Here is a 22,228-nt window from a genome sequence, read left to right as displayed (position 1 = left end):
AAAGGCACAGTTGCAGGGGAGAACAACATGGTCCTGTAAGAGCTTCCTACACAAAACTCTTGACTTCCCTAACTGGGACTGAAAAACATTCACACACACAAATCAGAGGTATAACTGACTCAAGAAGTTTAAACTAATCTTCCTTTTGTCCTTGACAAGAAACTAATAAAAGAAACATCCAGTAGGATGAAAAAATTCTGAACCTAGTGACAACACTCTATAACATTTAAGTAGAATTCAAAATTGCTGAGCAACAGTTTTGGAAAGCAGATACGAATGAGTCTTTAGAATGTAGTGTTCCAACTAGTAACTAGCTGGATCAATAGCTGAAACATACAAATAAAAGCTGTAAGACTTCATAGCTTTCTTTCATAAAAATCTTAAAAAATGTTTCATAAACCATGATTGACTTAAAGGATCAAATTCTTAGACTTAACCAGACATTAATAGATTAGACTCTACAAGCACTTTATCCCAGGGGATCTAATATGCCCATTACAAACTGGGATACATGTTAAAACTACAAAAGGAAGAAACAGTAGAAATAATGGTAATAACCTAATACCCCATGTAACATGTTTCCAAATCCTTTCCCATCCATTACAGTCTAAATTGAGTCTTTAATTTTTAAAAAGTGAGAAATCAGTATCTTACATTATAGTGTGTATCTTTTGCAAAGCTCTCTCAAATCCATTTTGACTCTAATTGTGTTTCTGATTAAAAATAATAACAGTGAGAAAGATGTTCAAATAAATCTATATCCTCTGCACAGCACTGCTGCACACCTACAGAATAACTTCCTACACTCTATAACCTACCACACCATTACTGTTGGAGCTTTCCATAAATACTACATTTCAATTCTATTCTTAAAATACTCTTTATCTCACGGGTGAGTATCCTTGACACCACATAAGTATAGAGACTGTTATTTCTGCTTACATTAGAAAAAATAACTGATTCTAAATTAGCCATATTTAAAAGGAAAAAGGGCATAAATTTTTAAATCCATGAATTCAAAATTTTAATTTTCACCAATTATATTCTATGAAAGCAAGAAACCAAGTAGAGCTGACTCACTGGTATAGATCCTACCATGGTAAAGAGATGGTTAAAAGGAAAAGAAAGCATTTATTTATCAGAGTTTGCAGTCATTTTATAGAGATGTGATTAATGTTTCTGAGCAAATAATGTATTTAATTTTTTTTTTTTTTTTGAGATGGAGTCTCACTTTGTCGCCCAGGCTGGAGTGCAGTGGTGCGATCTCAGCTCACTGCAAGCTCCGCCTCCTGGGTTCACGCCATTCTCCTGCCTCAGCCTCCTGAGTAGCTGGGACTACAGGCGCCTGCCACCACGCCCGGCTAATCCTTTTTTGTATTTTTAGTAGAGACTGGGTTTCACCGTGGTCTCGATCTCCTGACCTCGTAATCCACCCACCTCAGCCTCCCAAAGTGCTGGGATTACAGGCATGAGCCACCATGCCCGGCCCAGATGTATTTAATTTTAGCTAAATAGGTAGTGAGCATCTATCTCCTTGTCTTCCTGGAATGTCTTCCCCTTTCTTTAGTTAAAATAACCTCAACTCTCCTTGTGAGTCCGTCCCCATTCTATATGGTCTTTATAGAAATCTCAATTGAGAACAATACACACACACACACACACACACACACACACACACACACACCCCTAAGGGGTAGGCAAATTACTCACGGTCAATCATATGCTCAGTCCAGGAAATTTGAATCTTATGACAGGAGAATTAAACCAGTTGGTGCAGTCTTTGAGACCATGGTTACCTAAACAAACATCTATTAGGTGGTTTCTGGAGCTTAGATCCTCTCGGCTCAGCCTTCAAAGCCTAGTTGTTCAGCATCTTCTGTGCCTATATGTTTCCAAGTGCTGTGCCTATGTTTATGTAACCTATCTTTTTCACTCAATATTATGGGTACCTTCCCAGATTGGTTGCTATAAATGCATGTCATCACTTTCAATGGCTGCATGCAAGGAAGGTAATATAATCCATTTAAATAATTCCTTGTCTAAGGTTATTTCCTATTCTTTACTATGTACATATATCTGTTCTAACATTTCCTACTATTTCTTCAGAATAAATTCCTACTAAATGTGGACTTTCTGGGTAGAAGGCTATGCACACTTTGCATTGTGATATCTAACAGCAGCTATCTGGACTGAGTGCATCAATGTCTACATAGGCTATCTGAGAGGACATACCTCCCTTCATCTGCACCAGCACCGAGAATTACCATCATCCTTATCATTCCCTTTCCACACCAGGAGATGCCCAAATAATAAGATCAGCAAGAGAAGGAACAGCAGAAGTCATCATAACATGATACTTTATATTAAACTTTACCAAATCATTTCAAATCCATAAAGGACTAAATTGGGTCTAGGCCGGGTGCGGTGGCTCACACCTGTAACCCCAACACTTCGGGAGGGCAAGGCAGGAGGATCCCTTGAGCCCAGGAGTTCAAGACCAGCCTGGGCAACATAGTGAGGCTTCATCCCTAAAAAAAAAAAAAAAAAATTTAATTGACCAGGTGTGGTGATATGTGCCCGTAGTCCCAGCTACTCAGAAGGCTAAGGGAGGAGGATTGCTTGAACCTGGGAGGCCAGGCTGCAGTAAGCATGATCGCACCACTGCACTCCAGCCTGGGTGACAAAGTAAGACCCTGTCTCCAAAAAAATAAAAAAATTGTGTCTAAATTATATTGCCAACATAATCACTGAAAAATGCTGTCTTAAGTCTGCTCAGGCTGCGATAAAACCATAAACTGAGTGGCTTAAACAACAGAAATTTATTTTGTTTCTTTTATGTTTTTAGTTTTTTTATTATTATTTAAATAAAAAATAAATAAATAGAGACAAAGTCTCGCTATGTTGCCCAGGCTGGTCTCAAACTCCTGTGCTCAAGTGATCGTCTCACCTCAGCCTCCCAAAGTGCTAGGACTACAGGCATGAGCCACCATGCCCGGCCACAACAGAAATTTATTTCTCGAAGTTCTGGAGGCTAAAAGTCTAAGATCAAGGTACCAGCAAGGTAGGTTTCATTCTCAGGCTTTTTTTCCTCCCTTGTAGGCAGCTGCCATCCTGCTGTGTGCTCACATGGGGAGAAAAAAAGCAAGCCTCCTGGTGTCTCTTCTTCTAAGGACACTAAGCCCATATGAAGGCCCCACACTCATGACCTCATCTAACCTTAATTACCTCCTACAGACCCCACTTCCAAATACTATCACATTGGGACTTAGGGCTTCAACATATGAACGGGGGTAGGGGGACTCAAACACTCAGTCCACAACAAATGGTATCTACTTTAGCTCTGAATTCTATTTATTTAATGACTAGTAAAACTGAACATTTTGTTTATTGCACATTTAGGTTTTTTTTCTTTTAAAAATGGTCTGCTCTGATTTCATGTCTGAAACAGAAAGTATACAGGACGAACCTGAAACATCTCATCATATCGTAAAGCAAGGAAGCTATGAGATTACTAGAGACGTGTCAGAAGGACTCAGGTGCCAGCCTAAATAAGCCTACACTGCCCAAAGAGGGAGCAATTTGAGCATCGAAAGGACAGTAACTGCAATGGACTGAAACACACCACGTATGCTAAAATAGGCGTTCATAATGTTATGCGAAAAAATTTAAAACCCTCAACCATCACCACTGGAGGATGCTAGGGGACCAAATCATAACTTTGAAAACTGGTAAATCAAGGGAAATAATCAGACACTTTTCAAACCCTTCCTATACACTCTATACCTCAAGGTAACCAAATAATTGACAAAGGAGAATTTCTACACACACACACACACACACACACACACACACACACACACCTATTTCAGCTAATAACTAAATGACAGGATGTAACCATATTGTAATCCCTCCTGAACTCATAGACCAAGTTAACATTCAAGAATGGTTGCTAGTATCACAAAAAGAAAGAAAGAAGACTTCCTGATGAAAATAATCCTGCCCTCACAAAAAAATAAAATTGGATTCTTTTGATTTAGCCTCTACAATGAACTACCAATGTACAGGAAACACAAGAAATAAAATAACATATTTTACATTACAAGGATGCAAAGAATAAAATTCAGTTTCTTCAATAAAGAGTTGCAAAGAAAAAAAAAGATAGAGAACCTATAGGTTAAAAGAGACTTTAAACCATCCAACTGCAATGTATGGACCTTATTTGCATCTTAATTCAAACAATCATATATATATATATGATATGATATAAACACACACACACACACGTACACGCCCATACACACACATACATACACACAAATATATACTGCAGTCAAGGAGTATTGATTGGATATCTGATGATACTAAGAAAAAATTTTTAAGGTAAGATAATAGTATTGTAATTATTTTAAGGGGTCTTTTTCTTTTGGAGACATGTACTAAAATATTTACAGACAAAATTATATGACAGCTTGATTTGCTTTAAAATAATCCAAGTGGAGGGACGTGAGAGGTATTGCTCAAACAAAACTGGTAACGTTTTAAAATTGCCAAAGCTGGGCAAGATACAGTGCTTTATTACACCAGTCTCCACTGTTAGCAATGTTTTAAAATTTCCATGATAGGCCGGGTGCGGTGGCTCACGTCTGCAATCCCAGCACTTTGGGAGGCCGAGGCGGGCGGATCACGAAGTCAGGAGTTCGAGACCAGCCTAGCCAACATAGTGAAACCCTGTCTCTACTAAAAACAACAAAAAAATTAGCCGGGTGTTGTGGTGGGCACCTGTAATCCCAGCTACTTGGGAAGCTGGGGCAAGGAGAATCACTTGAACCCGGGAGGCGAAGGTTGCAGTGAGCCAAGATTGCGCCACTGCACTCCAGCCTGGGCGACAGTGAGCAGCAGGGTGGAGTTTCAGTGCCTGTGCTGTGTGGAGTGAAGTGAACCGGTACGGCCAGAACAGCAACTTCCTGTGTGCTCTCAAGCCTGTCAATAAGATACTGCAGATCCACAAAGATGATGTAACTGGCCTGCATTGTAAAGTGATATGCCTTATCCAGAAAGGAAGTTTCAGAGAAGCCTTGAATGTCATCAATACTTGCACCAAACTGTTAGCCAATAACTCTCTCTCCTTTGAAAAGGCATATTGCGAGTACAGGCTCAACAGAATTGAGAATGTCTTGAAGACAGTAGAAAGTACCAACCGGCAGACAGACAAACTGAAGGAGCTTTATGGATAAGTGTTACACCGTTTGGAACACTATGATGAATGCTTAGTGGCATAAAGAGATCTCGTCCGAAACTCCCACGATGCTTATGATGAGGAGAGGAAAACAAACCCTTCAGCAGTTGTTGCAGCTCAAAGCAATTGGGAAAAAGTGGCTCCAGAGAGCCTGGGCTTCCAAGAAGGCACACATGAGCTGTGCTAAACACTGCATGTGCACTGATAGACCACGGCCAGCTGAACCAGGCCATGAACATCCTACAAAAAGCTGAAGGTCTTTGCCACCATTCATTATCAGAAGACACTGATGAGACTGAGGAAGACCCACAGGCAGGACTGGCCATCACTTATGGTCAGATGGCCTATATTCTGCAGCTTCAGGGTCAAACAGAGGAGGCTCTGCAACTTTACAATCAAATACTACTACTAAAACCAACGGATGTAGGGTTACTAGATGTAATTGCAAATAACATCATTACCATTAACAAGGACCAAAATGTCTTTGACTCCAAGAAGAAAGTGAAATTAACCAATGCGGAAAGAGTAGAGTTTAAGCTTTCCAAGAAACAACTACAAGCTATAGAATTTAACAAAGCTGGCCTGGCGCGGTGGCTCATGCCTGTAATCCCAGCACTTTGGGAGGCGGAGGCAGGCAGATCACAAGGTCAGGAGTTCGAGACCAGCCTGGCCAATACGGTAAAACCCCGTCTCTACTAAAAATACAAAAATTAGCTGGGCGTGATGGTGCGTGCCTGTAGTCCCGGCTACTCGGGAGGCTGAGGCAGAAGAATCGCTTGAACCAGAGACGCAGAGGTTGCGGTGAGCCAAGGTCACGCCACTGCACTCCAGCCTGGGTGACAGAGCGAGACACCATCTCAAAAAAAAAACAATTTCACGCCTGACTGGTTTTGGTGGAGACGGGGTTTCGCTGTATTGGCCGGGCGGTCTCCAGCCCCTAACCGCGAGTGATCCGCCAGCCTTGGCCTCCCGAGGTGCCGGGATTGCAGACGGAGTCTCGTTCACTCAGTGCTCAATGGTGCCCAGGCTGGAGTGCAGTGGCGTGATCTCAGCTCACTACAACCTACACCTCCCAGCCGCCTGCCTTGGCCTCCCAAAGTGCCGAGATTGCAGCCTCTGCCCGGCCGCCACCCCGTCTGGGAAGTGAGGAGTGTCTGCCTGGCCGCCCATCATCTGGGATGTGAGGAGCCCCTCTGCCTGGCTGCCCAGTCTGGAAAGTGAGGAGCGTCTCCGCCCGGCCGCCATCCCATCTAGGAAGTGAGGAGCGCCTCTTCCCAGCCGCCATCACATCTAGGAAGTGAGGAGCGTCTCTGCCCGGCCGCCCATCGTCTGAGATGTGGGGAGCGCCTCTGCCCCGCCGCCCCCTCTGGGACGTGAGGAGCGCCTCTGCCCGGCCGAGACCCCGTCTGGGAGGTGAGGAGCGTCTCTACCCGGCCGCCCCATCTGAGAAGTGAGGAGACCCTCTGCCTGGCAACCACCCCGTCTGAGAAGTGAGGAGCCCCTCCGCCCGGCAGCTGCCCTGACTGAGAAGTGAGGAGCCTCTCCGCCCGGCAGCCACCCGATCTGGGAAGTGAGGAGCGTCTCCGCCCGGCAGCCACCCCGTCCGGGAGGGAGGTGGGGGGTCAGCCCCCCCGCCCAGCCAGCCATGCCATCCGGGAGGGAGGTGGGGGGTTCAGCCCCCCGCCTGGCCAGCCGTGCCGACCGGGAGGGAGGTGGGGGGGTCAGCCCCCCGCCCGGCCAGCCGCCCCGTCCGGGAGGGAGGTGGGGGGGGTCAGCCCCCCGCCTGGCCAGCTGCCCCGTCTGGGAGGGAGGTGGGGGGGTCAGCCTCCACCCGGCCAGCCGCCCCGTCTGGGAGGTGAGGGGCGCCTCTGCCCGGCCGCCCCTACTGGGAAGTGAGGAGCCCCTCTGCCCGGCCAGCCGCCCCCGTCCGGGAGGGAGGTGGGGGGGTCAGCCCCCCGCCCGGCCAGCCGCCCTGTCCGGGAGGGAGGTGGGGGGGTCAGCCTTCCGCCCAGCCAGCCGCCCCGTCTGGGAGGTGAGGGGCGCCTCTGCCCGGCCGCCCCTACTGGGAAGTGAGGAGCCCCTCTGCCCGGCCAGCCGCCCGGTCCGGGAGGGAGGTGGGGGAGTCAGCCCCCCGCCCGGCCAGCCGCCCCGTCCGGGAGGTGAGGGGCGCCTCTGCCCGGCCACCCCTACTGGGAAGTGAGGAGCCCCTCTGCCCGGCCAGCCGCCCCGTCCGGGAGGGAGGTGGGGGGGTCAGCCCCCCGCCCGGCCAGCCGCCCTGTCCGGGAGGGAGGTGGGGGGGACAGCCCTCCGCCCGGCCAGCCGCCCCGTCTGGGAGGTGAGGGGCGCCTCTGCCCGGCCGCCCCTACTGGGAAGTGAGGAGCCCCTCTGCCCGGCCAGCCGCCCCGTCCGGGAGGGAGGTGGGGGGGTCAGCCCCCCGCCCGGCCAGCCGCCCCGTCCGGGAGGGAGGTGGGGGGGTCAGCCCCCCGCCCAGCCAGCCGCCCCGTCCGGGAGGGAGGTGGGGGGGGTCAGCCCCCCTGCCCGGCCAGCCGCCCCGTCCGGGAGGTGAGGGGCGCCTCTGCCCGGCCGCCCCTACTGGGAAGTGAGGAGCCCCTCTGCCCGGCCAGCCGCCCCGTCCGGGAGGGAGGTGGGGGGGTCAGCCCCCCGCCCGGCCAGCCGCCCTGTCCGGGAGGGAGGTGGGGGGGTCAGCCCTCCGCCCGGCCAGCCGCCCCGTCTGGGAGGTGAGGGGCGCCTCTGCCCGGCCGCCCCTACTGGGAAGTGAGGAGCCCCTCTGCCCGGCCAGCCGCCCGGTCCGGGAGGGAGGTGGGGGGGTCAGCCCCCCACCCGGCCAGCCGCCCCGTCCGGGAGGGAGGTGGGGGGGGTCAGCCCCCCTGCCCGGCCAGCCGCCCCGTCCGGGAGGTGAGGGGCGCCTCTGCCCGGCTGCCCTTACTGGGAAGTGAGGAGCCCCTCTGCCCGGCCAGCCTCCCCGTCCGGGAGGGAGGTGGGGGGGTCAGCCCCCCACCCGGCCAGCCGCCCCGTCCGGGAGGGAGGTGGGGGGGTCAGCCCCCCGCCCGGCCAGCCGCCCCGTCCGGGAGGGAGGTGGGGGGTGTCAGCCCCCCTGCCCGGCCAGCCGCCCCGTCCGGGAGGTGAGGGGCGCCTCTGCCCGGCCGCCCCTACTGGGAAGTGAGGAGCCCCTCTGCCCGGCCAGCCGCCCGGTCCGGGAGGGAGGTGGGGGGGTCAGCCCCCCGCCCGGCCAGCCGTCCCGTCCGGGAGGGAGGTGGGGGGGGTCAGCCCCCCGCCCGGCCAGCCGCCTCGTCCGGGAGGTGAGGGGCGCCTCTGCCCGGCCGCCCCTACTGGGAAGTGAGGAGCCCCTCTGCCCGGCCAGCCGCCCCGTCCGGGAGGGAGGTGGGGGGGTCAGCCCCCCGCCCGGCCAGCCGCCTCGTCCGGGAGGTGAGGGGCGCCTCTGCCCGGCCACCCCTACTGGGAAGTGAGGAGCCCCTCTGCCCGGCCACCACCCCGTCTGGGAGGTGTGCCCAACAGCTCATTGAGAACGGGCCAGGATGACAATGGCGGCTTTGTGGAATAGAAAGGCGGGAAAGGTGGGGAAAAGATTGAGAAATCGGATGGTTGCCGTGTCTGTGTAGAAAGAAGTAGACATGGGAGACTTTTCATTTTGTTCTGCACTAAGAAAAATTCTTCTGCCTTGGGATCCTGTTGATCTGTGACCTTACCCCCAACCCTGTGCTCTCTGAAACATGTGCTGTGTCCACTCAGGGTTAAATGGATTAAGGGCGGTGCAAGATGTGCTTTGTTAAACAGATGCTTGAAGGCAGCATGCTCCTTAAGAGTCATCACCAATCCCTAATCTCAAGTAATCAGGGACACAAACACTGCGGAAGGCCGCAGGGTCCTCTGCCTAGGAAAACCAGAGACCTTTGTTCACTTGTTTATCTGCTGACCTTCCCTCCACTATTGTCCCATGACCCTGCCAAATCCCCCTCTGTGAGAAACACCCAAGAATTATCAATAAAAAAATAAATTTAAAAAAAAAAAAAAAAACAATTTAACAAGGCATTACTTGCTATGTACACAAACCAGGCCGAACAATGCCTCAAAATATCTGCCAGTTTACATTCCCAAAGTCCCGAGCATCTCTCACCTATGTTAACCCAAGGTGCCCAGCTCTGCGTGAAAAGCAGCACACAAAAGCAATAGAGCTGCTTCAGGAATTTTCAGATCAGCATCAAGAAAATGCAATTGAAATTAAGCTGACCATGGCACAGTTGAAAATTTCTCAAGAGAATATTTCTTAGCATGTCTAATATTGAGAAGCAGAGAGGAGTTAAAGCAGAAACCAGGCATGGTGTCTGCATTAGTGACCATGTGTAGCCATGAAGAAGATTTAATAGTACCACTGATGTCTTCACACAAGCTATCTGGTGGTATCAAAACCATCAGCTCAAATCTCCTGCTCATTTGTCCTTGATAAAAGAAGCTGCAAACTTCAAGCTCAAATATGGGCGGGAGGAGGCAATTAGTGACCTAGAACAGCTATGGAAACAAAATCCAAAAGATATTCATACCCTGGCACAGTTTATTTCTGCTTACTCACTTGCAGATCCAGAGAAAGGCACAGCTCTTAGTAAACATTTGCCATCATCAGATAGTATGTCTCTAAAAGTAGATGTTGAGGCTCTTGAAAATTCTCCTGGTGCTACATACATTTGGAAGGGTGGAAAAGTTACTAGAGATAGTCAACCAAAGGAACAAGGAAAGGGAGATTTGAAAAAGAAAAAGAAGGGAAAATTGCCTAAGAATTATGACCCAAAACTTACCCCAGATCCAGAAAGATGGCTGCCAATGCAAGAATGTTCTTTCTACCAGGGAAGAAAGAAGGGTAAAAAGAAGGATCAGATGGGAAAAGGGACCCAGGGAGCAACTGCAGGAGCTTCATCTGAACTGGATGCCAGAAAAACTGTGAGTAGCCCACCCACCTCCCCAAGACCTGGCAGTGCAGCGACACTATCTGCCTCTACAAGTAACATCATACCCCCAAGACACCAGAGACCTGCAGGGGCTCCAGCAACAAAAAAGAAACAGCAACAGAAAAAGAAGAAAGGTGGAAAAGGTGGCTGGTGATGAGAATATTCTTGTTGAAGGCTGTTTTTAAACTAGTCTCGGTAACATTAGGAATATAATAAAGGTAATACAGCAAGAAGCACAGAACTGCTCCCTCTTCATCTCCATATTTTCATAAATAATTCCTTGTGTTTCAAATGGAAAACATCTTCCTCAAAGTCTGCCTAGTGAGATATGGCCTACTGGTTGCCTCATAGCTTTGTACAGATTATGAGGACTGAAAATATGGCCGGGCACGGTGGCTCACACCTGTAATCCCAGCACTTTGGGAGGCTGAGGTGGGCAGATCACAAGGTCTGGAGTTTGAGACCAGCCTGGCCAACACAGTGAAACCCTGTCTCTACTAAACATACAAAAATTAGCTGGGTGTGGTGGCACGCACCTGTAGTCCCAGCTACTCGGGTGGCTGAGGCAGAATCGCTTGAAACTGGGAGGCGGAGGTTGCAGTGAGCCGAGATGGGGCCACTGCACTCCAGCCTGGGTGACAGAGCAAGACCCTATCTCAAAAAAAAAAAAAAAAAAAAAAAAAAAAAAAAAAAAGAAAAGAATTGGGCATTTACCCATCTTGGTATCTGTTGTATCCTTTATCTGTGTGTGCTGATTTGATCTTTTTTCAGCTTCACAAACCTTATCTAAGGTTTTCCAGGATTTAAACAGAAACTACTTCTACTATTTCAGCTAGAGTCTGAAGACACTTCTTTCTGTTCAAGTTCCACTTTAAATTATGGAGGCCTTAGGTGACTGAAAGTGGAATCTTCTGAGCATTCCAAAATATCTGCTTAGAAATATCATGTGATAAAGAGGAACTTTCTTAATACACTGATGTTCTTCACTTAATTAAATGAATGGCCACAAGAAAAAAAAGAATTCCATGATAAATAGTTGAAATGTAAAGAAAAAAAGATCTGCTCATGTCCTTAGCCCATTTTTCTAATGAACTGTTCATCTTTTTCTTATTGATTTTTAAGGGTCTATATAAATTGAGATGTTTAATATATGTTGCACATATTTTTCCAGTTTGTCATTTGTCTTTTTGCTCATGCCATTCTTCACTATACAGACACTGAAAATAACATATGCTGTAAAAACTGCTGTCAAATCTTTTACTTTATAGGTTTCCATTTGGTGTTAAGCTTAGAAAGACTTTTCCCATACTGGAATTCTATTAACATTTACCTACATTTCCCTTTAAGATTTATTGAATTTTAAAGGAGCCCTATAAATGAATATACCTTTCCATTCAGCAAAATATACCACCACTACAACATTAGCTGGGAAATAAAAACAACATCTGCATCAGCCGCAATTTCAGGAAGATGTGCTGGAATGTCATCATCCATATAGAAGGGAAGTGATAGGACCCAGCAAGGATTTAACACACGTACTGGTTTTATCCCCCATGGGTCCTCATTTTAAAGAGTTTCTATGCATTAAACAATAACGAATTTGTTTTAACTAATTTAATTAATTTAATTTGTTTTAATAAAATAAGTGTTCTATAACTTCTAATCAGAGTTCCTGATCATTGCCTCGTGGTCTTTTCACTAAGGTCAAATACAAGGTTCCTGATCATCATGAAGTACCACAGTTACTAACATTTAGTATACAAAAATCTAGAACGTTTATCAACAAAATGTGGTATATACATACAATGGAATATTATTCAGTTTTTAGAAGGACAGGAATTCGGCTGGGCGTGGTGGCTCATGCCTGTAAACCAAGCACTTCGGGAGGCCTAGCTGGGAGGACTGCTTGAGCCCAGGAGTTCAAGACCAGCCTGGGCAACATAGTGAGACCTTGTCTCTAGAAACAACAGCAAGAACAAAAGGATGCAAATGCTGACACATGCTATAACATGGATGAACCCTGAGGATATCACGCTAAGTGAAATAAGCCAGTCATGAAAGGGCAAATACTGTGTGATTGCACTTACATGAGGTACCTAGAGTAGTCAAATTCATAGAGATAGAAAATAGAGGGGTGGTTTCCAGGGGCTGCAGGGAGGGGAAAAGAAAGAGTTGGGGTTTAACAGGTCTGGAGTTTCAGTTTGGGAATCTGAACAAAGTTCTGGACAGAAGTGATAGTTGCATGACAACGTGAATATACTTAATGCTACTGAACTGTACACTGAAAATTTAAGTTTTTTTTTTTTTTCTTTGAGACAGAGTTTCGCTGTGTCACCCAGGCTGGAGTGCAGTGGTGCAACCTCTGCTCACTGCAACCTTACAGCAACCTCAGCCTCCCGGGTTCAAGCAATTCTTTTGCCTCTGCCTCTCAGGTAGCTGGGATTACAGGTGTGTGCCACAGCAACTGGTTAATTTTTGTATTTTTAGTAGAGACAGGGTTTCACCATGTTGGCCAGGCTGGTCTCGAACTCCTGGCCTAAAGGGATCCATCTGCCCCAGCCTCCCAAAGTACTGGGATTATAGGCGGGAGCCACCACACCCAGCCAGGATGATAAATTTTATGGTATGTACATTTTACCACAAAAAATTAGTATGTTTAGTATGTTACAATTTAGTAACTAAATTAACATTATCTCAGCCAAATTAAAACACATTTGACATTTTAATTACATATTCCATGAAGTCTCACTAAAGACAAATGTACAATTTCTGTAAGGCTTTTGGTAATACTGAAATGCTGCACAGAATGCTAAACAGAAACCCATGCAGTAACTAAATCACAGCATTTCATAAGAGGTTGTACTCAGTTTTTAAATGCATTTTACAAATCACATGCATAGCTGAGCCACTCTATCTTCACTCTCTCCAGGAGATTGTTAATTGATGTTGCAAATGAGTAGAACAGATGAATAAAAATTCCGACCTAGCTTAGCCATGCACATGGTAGCCACTCCACAAACCTTCCTGAATTCAGATACTGGAATCTATAGCAAAATCAAAAAGAAAACCTGGGCTTCCCACTGTCCTATAAACTATCCAGTGAGAGGGCTGAAATTTGGCCTGAAGGAAGGCTGCTGTCTCTTGACTCTTCCATTACTCGCCATCTCAGCATCAATGTTGGATGATTCCATTTAAAACAGGCTTCAGGTACCACACATTGCTTTATGGGTTAAACATCTTTTTCTATTCAGAGTTTTGGTAGGTAAAAAACTGTGAATAACCAAACTGCCACTCTTAGAGCTCCATATGCAAGGCTGAAAGATAAATATGATTTATACACACAAACTCTTTCTAAATGAAGAGGACATTATTTTAAAATAAACAATAGTAAATGCATAAAGTTCGTATTTCTCAACCACAGGAAGCAATCATGACTTCCTAATCATCTTCCATGTATGAAAGTTCCATTGTGTTGAAAACATTTTTCTCCATATTCCTCCCTCTAATTCAGCACTACGGACTTTAACTCCGGAAGCCAACACCTCCCCACATCATGTAAAAAACAAAACCAAAAATAAATAAATAAACCTGCTACTTCCACAGCCCTAATATAGAGCTCTTAAAATTCTTAAAGGAAATCCACATCGTCTAACAACTTTCACACAAATTAAGTACTATTCTTTAAACTGAAGAACTAAACATCAAATTTAGCTATTCACAATTTATTCATATCATCACTTCCATGCCAGTTACCTATCAAGGACTTCACTAGAAGACAGGACACTTGTGACTCTCCCATTCAGAATATGGCTATCACTGCACAACGCGAGATGAGTGTGCCCATGGCCTCTCTGGATTGCAGTGTGGCTATGTGCAAGGTGCCCTGTCACTTCTCATCCATCACAACCTCACACCCCAGCAATCTGGCGCTGCGGAGCCCGGGGAGAACTTTCCAGGACCACCGCACCATTCCCAGCGGGTTTGTCTGCAAGAACTTCAACTAAGAAATGGAGAACCCAGACACGGAGGAAGAGGCACAAAGGAAGGGACCCACACCCACACCTGCAACGGGTTTTTACGTCCTTCAAAACCTTAGAAATAACTTCCTCTGTGCTTTTTCATAAACCTGCCTATTGCAATGACTTAAAGGATATCCTTAAGGTGCTGAACTACTGTAAAACAAAAGGGCGTGGGGGAGACCCCAAAGAGATCCAGGAGACAGTTCCTGGCGAGGGGAGCTGATTATCCCCGACAGGAAAGTCTTAAGAGACTTTCTGATGACAAGGGCAGTTCAGCAGGTAGAAGGAATTAGGACCCTAACGGACCTCAACCTCGGAGAGGGCTGTGTCACCCTCGTTTCCTTCCACAAAGCCAGACCACCCTCACCTTCCCATCCCTGAAGCGGTGTCGCCACAGGAAGAAGTAGACACCTCCCAGCTAATTGCCCCAAGCGGGTCAAACTTCGGAATCGGCGTCCTGCTCTGCGTTGTGGAGCGCATGGCAAAGAGGAAGGGTTGGTGCTCGGAACAGAATCTCCGTGATTTGCCAGAGGAAACAGCACAGACTCCAGACAGCAGAAGCGCCGGGATTTCCATGCAGCTGCCACGACAGGTGACCCGGCCCGCTCTGCAGTCACCCGGCTCGCCCGGGGGCTTCGCGGAAGGTGGGGCAGGCGGGCTGGGGAGACTGGTCCGGCAGGGGAGGTGGCGGCGCGGCCGGGGAAGCCGCTCGGGCCCGACGCCGGGGAGGAAGAGGAGGAGCGCAGCCCAGTCTCCCTGGGGAAACCGTTTTCAGGGATTTTCTGTCTCCACAATTAAGAAAAAAAAATGGCTCCAAGCCAAACGCCTCCCGATCTCACACACACACCACACGCACCACCCCACACGCACGCCCGCCCCGCGCTCAGCTTTCGCCCCATTTTCTCACACGCGGAGACAAAAGGCTCCCACAGCCAAGCAGCGGCCACGGCCGCCGGGCCCGGGTCAGACGCCCCCTTGCGCCGCCCCCTCCCAAGACTCCCGCAGCCACCGCCCCGACCCCCGCCCGCCGCGCCCACCAAGCCCGCCGCGCAGACCCCGGGGCCCACCGCAGGGGCACACACGCCCGGCGGGGCAGGGACGACGCTCGGGCCGGCGCCCCCTCCCGCGGGACTGCGCGGCGGCGACAGTGGCCCCGCGCCCGCTCACCTCCGGGCGGCCGTGGCGGCAGCCCCAGCGGCTCCTCCGTGCCTCTCCGCCTCCAGCAGCCCCGCATCGCCGCCGCCGCCGCCTCCCCCCGCGTCTCGGCCGAGTCTCCGCCTCCCTTCACCGCCGCCGCCGCCGGCCCGGCTGCGCGCCACGTGACCGCGCCACGTGACCCGGCGCGGCGAGCGGCGCCTCCCCGGCCGGCGCTACCGCCCCGGCCCCCACCGCCGGCCGTTGGCGCCCCCCGGCCGCCCTCCCTCCCCGGCCCAGGGCTCGCGTCCCCAACGCCACCCCGCGGGCCGCCGCGCCGCCCGCCACCGGAGCCGCCGCCTGCCCGGGCCACCTGCTCGCACCCCCGGCGTCGCCACCCCGGGAGACCCCCGCCCCCGGCCCGCACCGCGCCACGGTGCCCAAGATGCCCACAGTGCCGGGCCTAGGCCTCCAGTCTCCTGGCTCGGGACGGCCTCAGCACCCGGGCACCGCGCGGCTTGCGCGCCGTCTGAACTTCGTTTGAGCCGGAAGTGGACGTCCCAGTCCCATTATGTCTTACAGGGAAAGCCGCCGGGAGCACAGAAGCGCTGTCACCACCGACCCGCGCAGCTCCCCGGGAAAACGGTCACCCGAGTGGCCGCGATGGTAACATCCCAGAGGATCTCTTCTTCAGTTGTCCATGGAGAAAGGACCGGATAGCGTCATTTTAACTCAGGGAAGAACAATTCACAGCCTTCCCCCTCCTGTTAAATTTGATGGATGTCCTGCTAACAACGAAACTTGATAATCTCTTCTTTTTCCAGCTTGTGCAAAGAAATAGCATAGCTGATTGTGTGACTCTTCACACGTGTAGTTTAAAAAAAAAAGCATTCTTTTTTCCTTGATTTGAAGCATTAGAGGCCCCATATAGTTAGGAATAGCAGCGACTCTTCCGCAAGGGCTCAGCGTTGTTTTCTGTTTTGCCTGTCTGCAAAAGTTTTCGAATCCGTTTCAGACTTAAGAATTACTGATTCTGTGAATTTTGTCAAAAAAAAAGTTGGACCGAGTTTGTTAAATTCTGAAATTCCATGAATACTCGCCTCAGCCTCCCGAGTAGCTAGGGACTACAGGTGCCCGCCACCATGCCCAGCTCATTTGTGATTTTTTTTTTTTCAGTGTAGGAGTTTCGCTCTGTTGCCCTGGCTCATCTCGAACTCCTGGCTCCAAGTGATCCTCCTGCCTCTGCCTTCCAAAGTGTTGAGATTACAGGCATGAGCCACCACACTTGACCTAATTTTACAAATTTTGACAAATGCTACCTAGACTTTTTTTATTTTTAAAAAGGTAAGCCAAGCGTGGCGTGTAGTCCCCAGCTACTCCGGAGGCTGAGGCGGGTGGATCCCTGGAGACCAGGAGCTGGGGGCCGCAGTGAGCTATAATCATGCCTGTGGACTCCAGCCTGAGCATAGCGAAACCCGGCTCTAACACAAGAAAATTAAATATTAATTTAAAAGTAACTGAACCAAGAATAGTTGCCTCATGTTTGAATGCGTATAAATATAATGCATTTAACTGTGGTCCCAGCTACTCCGGAGGCTGAGGCACGAGAATCCTTTGAACCCCGAGAGGCAGAGGTTGCAGGGAGCCGAGATTGCGCCACTGCACTCCAGCCTGGGTGACAGAGTGAGACCCTGTCTCAAAAAGAGTATATATATAATATATATGTATAACGCATTTAATAGAAGCATTAAGATCAGCATTATTTGATTATATTTTATAAGCACTCCAAAACTTAATTTTGAAAACCTTAAGAAATAAAACTACATTTACATCTTAGAGTACCTTAAAAGATAATCTTCGCTCAATGTAATTAGTATTGCACTTCAGTTTAGTGCTCAATGTTATGTTAAATACTGTGGAGAGATCAAAGGAAGAATATGATATGGCCCTTGCCTTCAAAATTTACAATTTCTGTACAGAATTACTTTAAAATGTGTGCATAACTTTTTTGTTTGTTTTTTTGAGACGGAGTCTCACTCTGTTGCCCAGGCTGGGGTGCAGTGGTGTGATCTCCGCTAACTGCAACCTCCGCCTCCCAGGTTCAAGCAATTCTCCTGCCTCAGCCTCCCGAGTAGCTGGGATTGCTGGGATTACAGGCGCTACCACCATGCCCATCTAATTTTGTATTTTTAATAGATACGAGGTTTCACCATGTTGGCCAGGCTGGTCTCAAACTCCTGACCTCAGGTTATCTGCCCACCTCGGCCTCCCAAAGTGCTGGAATTACAGGCATGAGTCACCACTCCTGGCCAAAATATATACATAACATTTTTTAAACCCTTTCTCTCTTGCGCGCGCGCGCACACACACACGGATCAGGGATCAGCATTCATTTGCTTGGCCCTGGCCTGGAGCAAATTATGGAAATTTTGACCCTTGCTGTCAGACTAAAGAGAAGAAGGATTAAAGATGAACTTTCTTGACTTAATAAATACAATCTATGTAACAGTATAAAAATGATACAACAAATACCATCAAGACTGAATGATACAGGTGTTCTTGCTTCTGCAAAATGAAAAAAAAAATACAAACCTTGAAACTACTCTTCTAATAATACCATAGTTTTCCATAAGGCCCACAGGTATAAACTCTCTCTTATCCAGCACTCTTGGGTACAAATACACCCAACTCTCAGCAAAACTGAGAAGTCCCTCAAGTTTGTTTTCTGCCTGTGTCATTTTGCACAGTGTCAGTGGTTTTGCGAATGTCTTTGGAGCAAATATCTTCACTGAAGTCCTGGTTCTACCACTTACTAACAAGTGACAAACAAGAACAATATTCCAAATGCTGTGTCTTTAGCCATACATTCAAAAAACAATATCTCCCTCACAGTGCTGTTGAAATAATCAAATAAAATATGTAAATTATATGCCTGGCACACAAGAGGTGCTCAGTCAAAAAATAATACTTGGGCCGAGCACAGTGGCTCATGCCTGTATTCCCAGTACTTTGGGAGGCCAAGGCAGGTGGATCACCTGTGATCATGAGTTCAAGACCAGCCTGACCAACGTGACAAAACCCCATCTGTACTAAAAATACAAAAATTAGCCGGGCGTGGTGGCACACACCTGTCATCCCAGCTACTTGTGAGGCTGAGGCAGGAGAATCACTTGAACCCAGGAGGCAGAGGTTGCAGTGAGCCGAGATCATGCCACTGCACTCCACCCTGGGAGACACAGCGAGACTCTCTCTCAAATAATAATAGTAATAAGCCGGGTGCGGTGGCTCACGCCTGTAATCTCAGCACTTTGGGAGGCCAAGGTGGGCGGATCACCTGAGGTCGGGAGTTTGAGTCCAGCCTGACCAACATGGAGAAACCCTGTCTCTACTAAAAATACAAAAAATTAGCCGGGCATGGTGGCGCATGCCTGTAATCCCAGCTACTTGGGAGGCTGAGGTAGAAGAATGGCTTGAACCCAGGAGGCGGAGGTTGCAGTGAGCCGAGATTGTGCCATTGCACTCCAGCCTGGGCAAAAAGGGCGAAACTCCGTCTCAAAAAAAAAAATACTACCACTACTAACAATAATACCTCCAACCTGAACATGGTGAAACCCCGTCTCTAATAAAAATACAAAAATTAGCTTGGCCTGGTGGCGGCCGCCTGTAGTCCCAGCTCCTCAGCAGGCTGAAGCAGGAGAATTGCTTGAACCTGGGGGGCAGAGTTTGCAGTGAGCCAGGATTGTGCCACTGCACTCCACCCTGGGCGACAGAGTGAGTCTCCATCTCAAAAATAATAATAATAATACCTAAGGACCAGACACGGTGGTGGCACGCACCTGTAGTCCCCTGCTACTCGGTGGCTGAGGTGGGAGGATCACTTAAGCCCAGGAGTTGGAGGCTGCAGTGAGCTGTGATCAGGCCACAGCCCTCCAACCTGGTCGACAGAGTGAAATCCTGTTTCTGAAAAATAACAATGATAATAATAGCTAAGTTTTATTAAATGCTTACCGTGGGCCAAACTCTGTGCCTTGTTCGTTCTTATTTTTGCTGTTCTTTCTGTCCCTGTTTCCCTCAGTGTGTGCCTTCTGTCCCCTACCTTACCCCTGCCCCCTTAGGAATCTATTCTCCCTCTGCATGTTCAGAACAAAAGTGATTTAAAACTTTTAAAACTCATTTATAATAATCTATTACATCTGTTATGAATTTTTTTTTGAGACAGGATCTTGCTCTGTTGCTCAGGCTGGAGTGTAGTGGTACAATCTTGGCTCACTGCAGCCTCAACCTCCCAGGCTCAAGTGACCCTCCCAGCTCAGCCTCCCGAGTAGCTAGGACCACAAGTGCACACCACCACACCAGGCTAATTTTTTAAATTTTTTGTAGAGACGAGATCTCCCTGTATTGCTCCTAGGCTCAAGCCAGTCTTCCTGCCTTGACTTCCCAAAGGGCTGGGGTTACAGGCATGAGCCTCCCAGCCCTTTGGGAGGCCTGCATTTTATGCTTCTCTAAAATCCTTTCTAATTGTGAAATGAAAAATGTTGCTGCTTATTTAGAAATCTGTGGCATTTGGGAGCCATTAGGAGGGAGATCTGGTAATGGGGACCCTTCCACTGTCCTTTGAAATCCCACACGTCCAATTAGTCCCATTTTGTTGTGTTTAAATACTTTTAAACAGTAGATTTTGGCAACACACTTGAAGAAATTAAAACCGCATAATAATTGCAAAATGATAATTGCTGTAAGAAACAGCATCCCTCATGTGGCATTCGTGATCGTGACTGTCAGCTGGTGGGCCTGTAGCTCTAGAGTCAAGTTTGGGAAAAGCTTCTTACTACCCTGACCAAGCTCCCAAAAGTTCTGAGATACGTGACCTTTCTTTGAAAGTTACTCTTCAAATAACTTTGCTTTGCATCTGCCTTGGGTCACACAGTGAGCTCAGAGCCCAACTGAATCTGATAGGCATTCTGGTAACAGTGTATCTTGACCACTTATTAAAACGTGGCTGTGCTCCTGGCGGTGGTTAATCACCACTGTCCTACCCTAAGGCTGGGCCTGGGGGCACAAGGGATCCATAGTCACAGCCAGCCAGGCACCTGGGTTGGCCTCTGTTCCCTTCCCTTCTCTCCACACTTCTTTGCACCCCTCCTTGGCCATCATGTTCCTCTAAGACATCCAGACAATGAAGCTCCAGCAGCTCTTCTTGCAGGCCTCTTCCCTGCCTCCCTGTCACCAAGCAGCCTGCTGGGCAACTCCCCTCCTTCTTGGCTGCGACATAACTCAGAGTCCAAAGTTTCTGCTGTCTCAAGCCCTTCAGCCACCAAGACACTCAGCACAGGGATAGGGAAACTGGATCCTGGACATAAGGAGATGGCGGAGGAGTCAGAGCTTTTGAAGAATAAGATGCAAGCCCCTCCCCTTTCGAGGTGTCCTGAGAGCCAAAAATGCCAGCACCAGCTGAGGCTTCATCACTGGAAACCCAGCGTCCGGCACCAGGTGAAACGCTGTAGCCCCGCTGTGCTCCGCTCAGCCATGCCACCTGCAGACTGTCCTGCAGTTCTGGAGGCCACCACAGCCACACGTGAAGAAACAGTGATGAGTTGCAGCACATCCTTTGAGGGTGGCCAGGATGGTGAGGACTCCAGAAGCTGTCTTACAATGTCATACAGTTTTATAAACACCTGAAGAAGAAAATAAGAATGTTTAACCTGGGAAGAAACACACTTACAAGCCTCTGCTGGTGAACTTTGTCCCATTGAGAGCAATTGTATGGGAGGGTTGTTCCTTTTTTTTTTGTTTTTTGTTTTTTGTTTTTGAGACGGAGTCTTGCTCTGTCGCCAGGCTGGAGTTCAGTGGCGCGATCTCGGCTCACTGCAACCTCCGCCTCCCGGGTTCTAGTGATTCTCCTGCCTCAGCTTCCCAAGTAGCTGGGACTACAGGTGCATACCACCATGCCCAGCCAATTTTTGTATTTTTAGTAGAGACGGGGTTTCACCATGTTGGCCAGATGGTCTGGATCTCTTGACCTCGTGATCCACCCGCCTCGGACCCCCAAAATGCTGGGATTACAGGTGTGAGCCATCATGCCCGGCCCGGTTGTTCCCTTTTGATTATTTATTGAGCTTCTACTTTAAACCAGGCAGTGTCCAAATGAGAACAAGTGTGTGGGAACCTATGAAGGGGCTTTGGATCAGAAAAGGAAGGGCCTCTGCTAGGGCAGTCGCCAGGGAGGTGTGTGGCCTTGCAAAGTAGCCTTAGCCCACCCACTTCTATCTTTTGACTCTGATGGCCTGGCCTGGACACACAGAATGCAACCCGGGGTCCTACTCACCCTCTGCCTTAAAGGCTCGAGGCTCTAATCAGCTAACTCGTCCCCTTCCCAGCCTGCTCAGAGCCTCCCAGAGCAAAGTAATACCTGGACCAAGATCTAGAACCAAAAGGCCTGCTTGGTTCACTCTGGAAAGGAGAAGATGGCTTACAAGAAAAGAGAGCTTTTGTCCTTGTCTGCTTCCCCCATTCGGGAGAAGGGAAGAGGTGAGCGGGCTGCGGTACTTTGTACACACTTGAAGCGCCACTCTCCTTCCTCCCGATCCTTTCATTGCTGAGGTGGTCCTTTAGGGCCCTGAATTCTGAGCAGACTCTCAGTAGATGCACATCGTTGGGTACACATTTTCTTTTTTTTTTTTTTTTTTGAGACAAGGTCTTGCTCTATTGTCCTGGCTGGAGTGCAGTGTCGTGATTACAGCTCGCTGCAGCCTCAACCTCTCCAGGCTCAGATGATCCTCCTGCTGCAGCCTCCTGAGTAGTGGGACCACAGGTGCATGCCACCACACCTGGCTAATTTTTTTATTTTTTGTAAAGAT

At 48.8% G+C, this 22,228-nt stretch overlaps 1 protein-coding gene and 1 pseudogene across 12 annotated transcripts in view, besides 9 other annotated features; one reads left to right on the top strand and one right to left on the bottom strand.

The window, feature by feature from the left end:
- TULP4 (TUB like protein 4) overlaps positions 1–15,513 on the bottom strand; it is a 279,634-nt gene extending 264,121 nt beyond the window's left edge. For 9 of the 12 annotated variants that reach the window (XM_047419081.1, XM_047419086.1, XM_047419085.1 and 6 more), the window contains exon 1: positions 15,405–15,513. The gene's annotated coding sequence lies outside the window, so the exon portion shown is untranslated. Of the gene's footprint in view, positions 1–2,374; positions 2,529–14,604; positions 14,818–15,404 lie in introns of all 12 variants that reach the window. The other 3 variants (XM_047419082.1, XM_047419087.1, XM_047419084.1) reach the window with 2 other exon arrangements.
- Positions 4,736–4,785: an enhancer, noted in NCBI's record as "active region_25350". NCBI's record gives its function as "activates an Ori minimal core promoter by ATAC-STARR-seq in GM12878 lymphoblastoid cells {active_cell/tissue: GM12878}" and the evidence as "EXISTENCE:reporter gene assay evidence [ECO:0000049][PMID:35858748]".
- SRP72P2 (signal recognition particle 72 pseudogene 2) lies at positions 4,893–10,598 on the top strand (annotated as a pseudogene).
- Positions 5,186–5,255: an enhancer, noted in NCBI's record as "active region_25349". NCBI's record gives its function as "activates an Ori minimal core promoter by ATAC-STARR-seq in GM12878 lymphoblastoid cells {active_cell/tissue: GM12878}" and the evidence as "EXISTENCE:reporter gene assay evidence [ECO:0000049][PMID:35858748]".
- Positions 5,366–5,475: an enhancer, noted in NCBI's record as "active region_25348". NCBI's record gives its function as "activates an Ori minimal core promoter by ATAC-STARR-seq in GM12878 lymphoblastoid cells {active_cell/tissue: GM12878}" and the evidence as "EXISTENCE:reporter gene assay evidence [ECO:0000049][PMID:35858748]".
- Positions 14,694–14,743: an enhancer, noted in NCBI's record as "active region_25347". NCBI's record gives its function as "activates an Ori minimal core promoter by ATAC-STARR-seq in GM12878 lymphoblastoid cells {active_cell/tissue: GM12878}" and the evidence as "EXISTENCE:reporter gene assay evidence [ECO:0000049][PMID:35858748]".
- Positions 14,750–15,622: an enhancer, noted in NCBI's record as "H3K27ac hESC enhancer chr6:158653118-158653990 (GRCh37/hg19 assembly coordinates)". NCBI's record gives its function as "activates a minimal SCP1, AML or CMV promoter by ChIP-STARR-seq in primed H9 embryonic stem cells {active_cell/tissue: H9 hESC(primed)}" and the evidence as "EXISTENCE:reporter gene assay evidence [ECO:0000049][PMID:30033119]".
- Positions 14,750–15,663: a biological region, named in NCBI's record as "H3K27ac hESC enhancer GRCh37_chr6:158653118-158653990".
- Positions 14,864–14,993: a silencer, noted in NCBI's record as "silent region_17737". NCBI's record gives its function as "represses an Ori minimal core promoter by ATAC-STARR-seq in GM12878 lymphoblastoid cells {active_cell/tissue: GM12878}" and the evidence as "EXISTENCE:reporter gene assay evidence [ECO:0000049][PMID:35858748]".
- Positions 15,364–15,663: a silencer, noted in NCBI's record as "silent region_17736". NCBI's record gives its function as "represses an Ori minimal core promoter by ATAC-STARR-seq in GM12878 lymphoblastoid cells {active_cell/tissue: GM12878}" and the evidence as "EXISTENCE:reporter gene assay evidence [ECO:0000049][PMID:35858748]".
- Positions 15,764–15,853: a silencer, noted in NCBI's record as "silent region_17735". NCBI's record gives its function as "represses an Ori minimal core promoter by ATAC-STARR-seq in GM12878 lymphoblastoid cells {active_cell/tissue: GM12878}" and the evidence as "EXISTENCE:reporter gene assay evidence [ECO:0000049][PMID:35858748]".

This window comes from Homo sapiens, chromosome 6, assembly GCF_000001405.40.
Source record: "Homo sapiens chromosome 6, GRCh38.p14 Primary Assembly".
NCBI classification, from domain to species: domain Eukaryota; kingdom Metazoa; phylum Chordata; class Mammalia; order Primates; family Hominidae; genus Homo; species Homo sapiens.
Note: the sequence above shows the minus strand (reverse complement) of the source record. Positions and strands in the feature narration are given on the sequence as shown.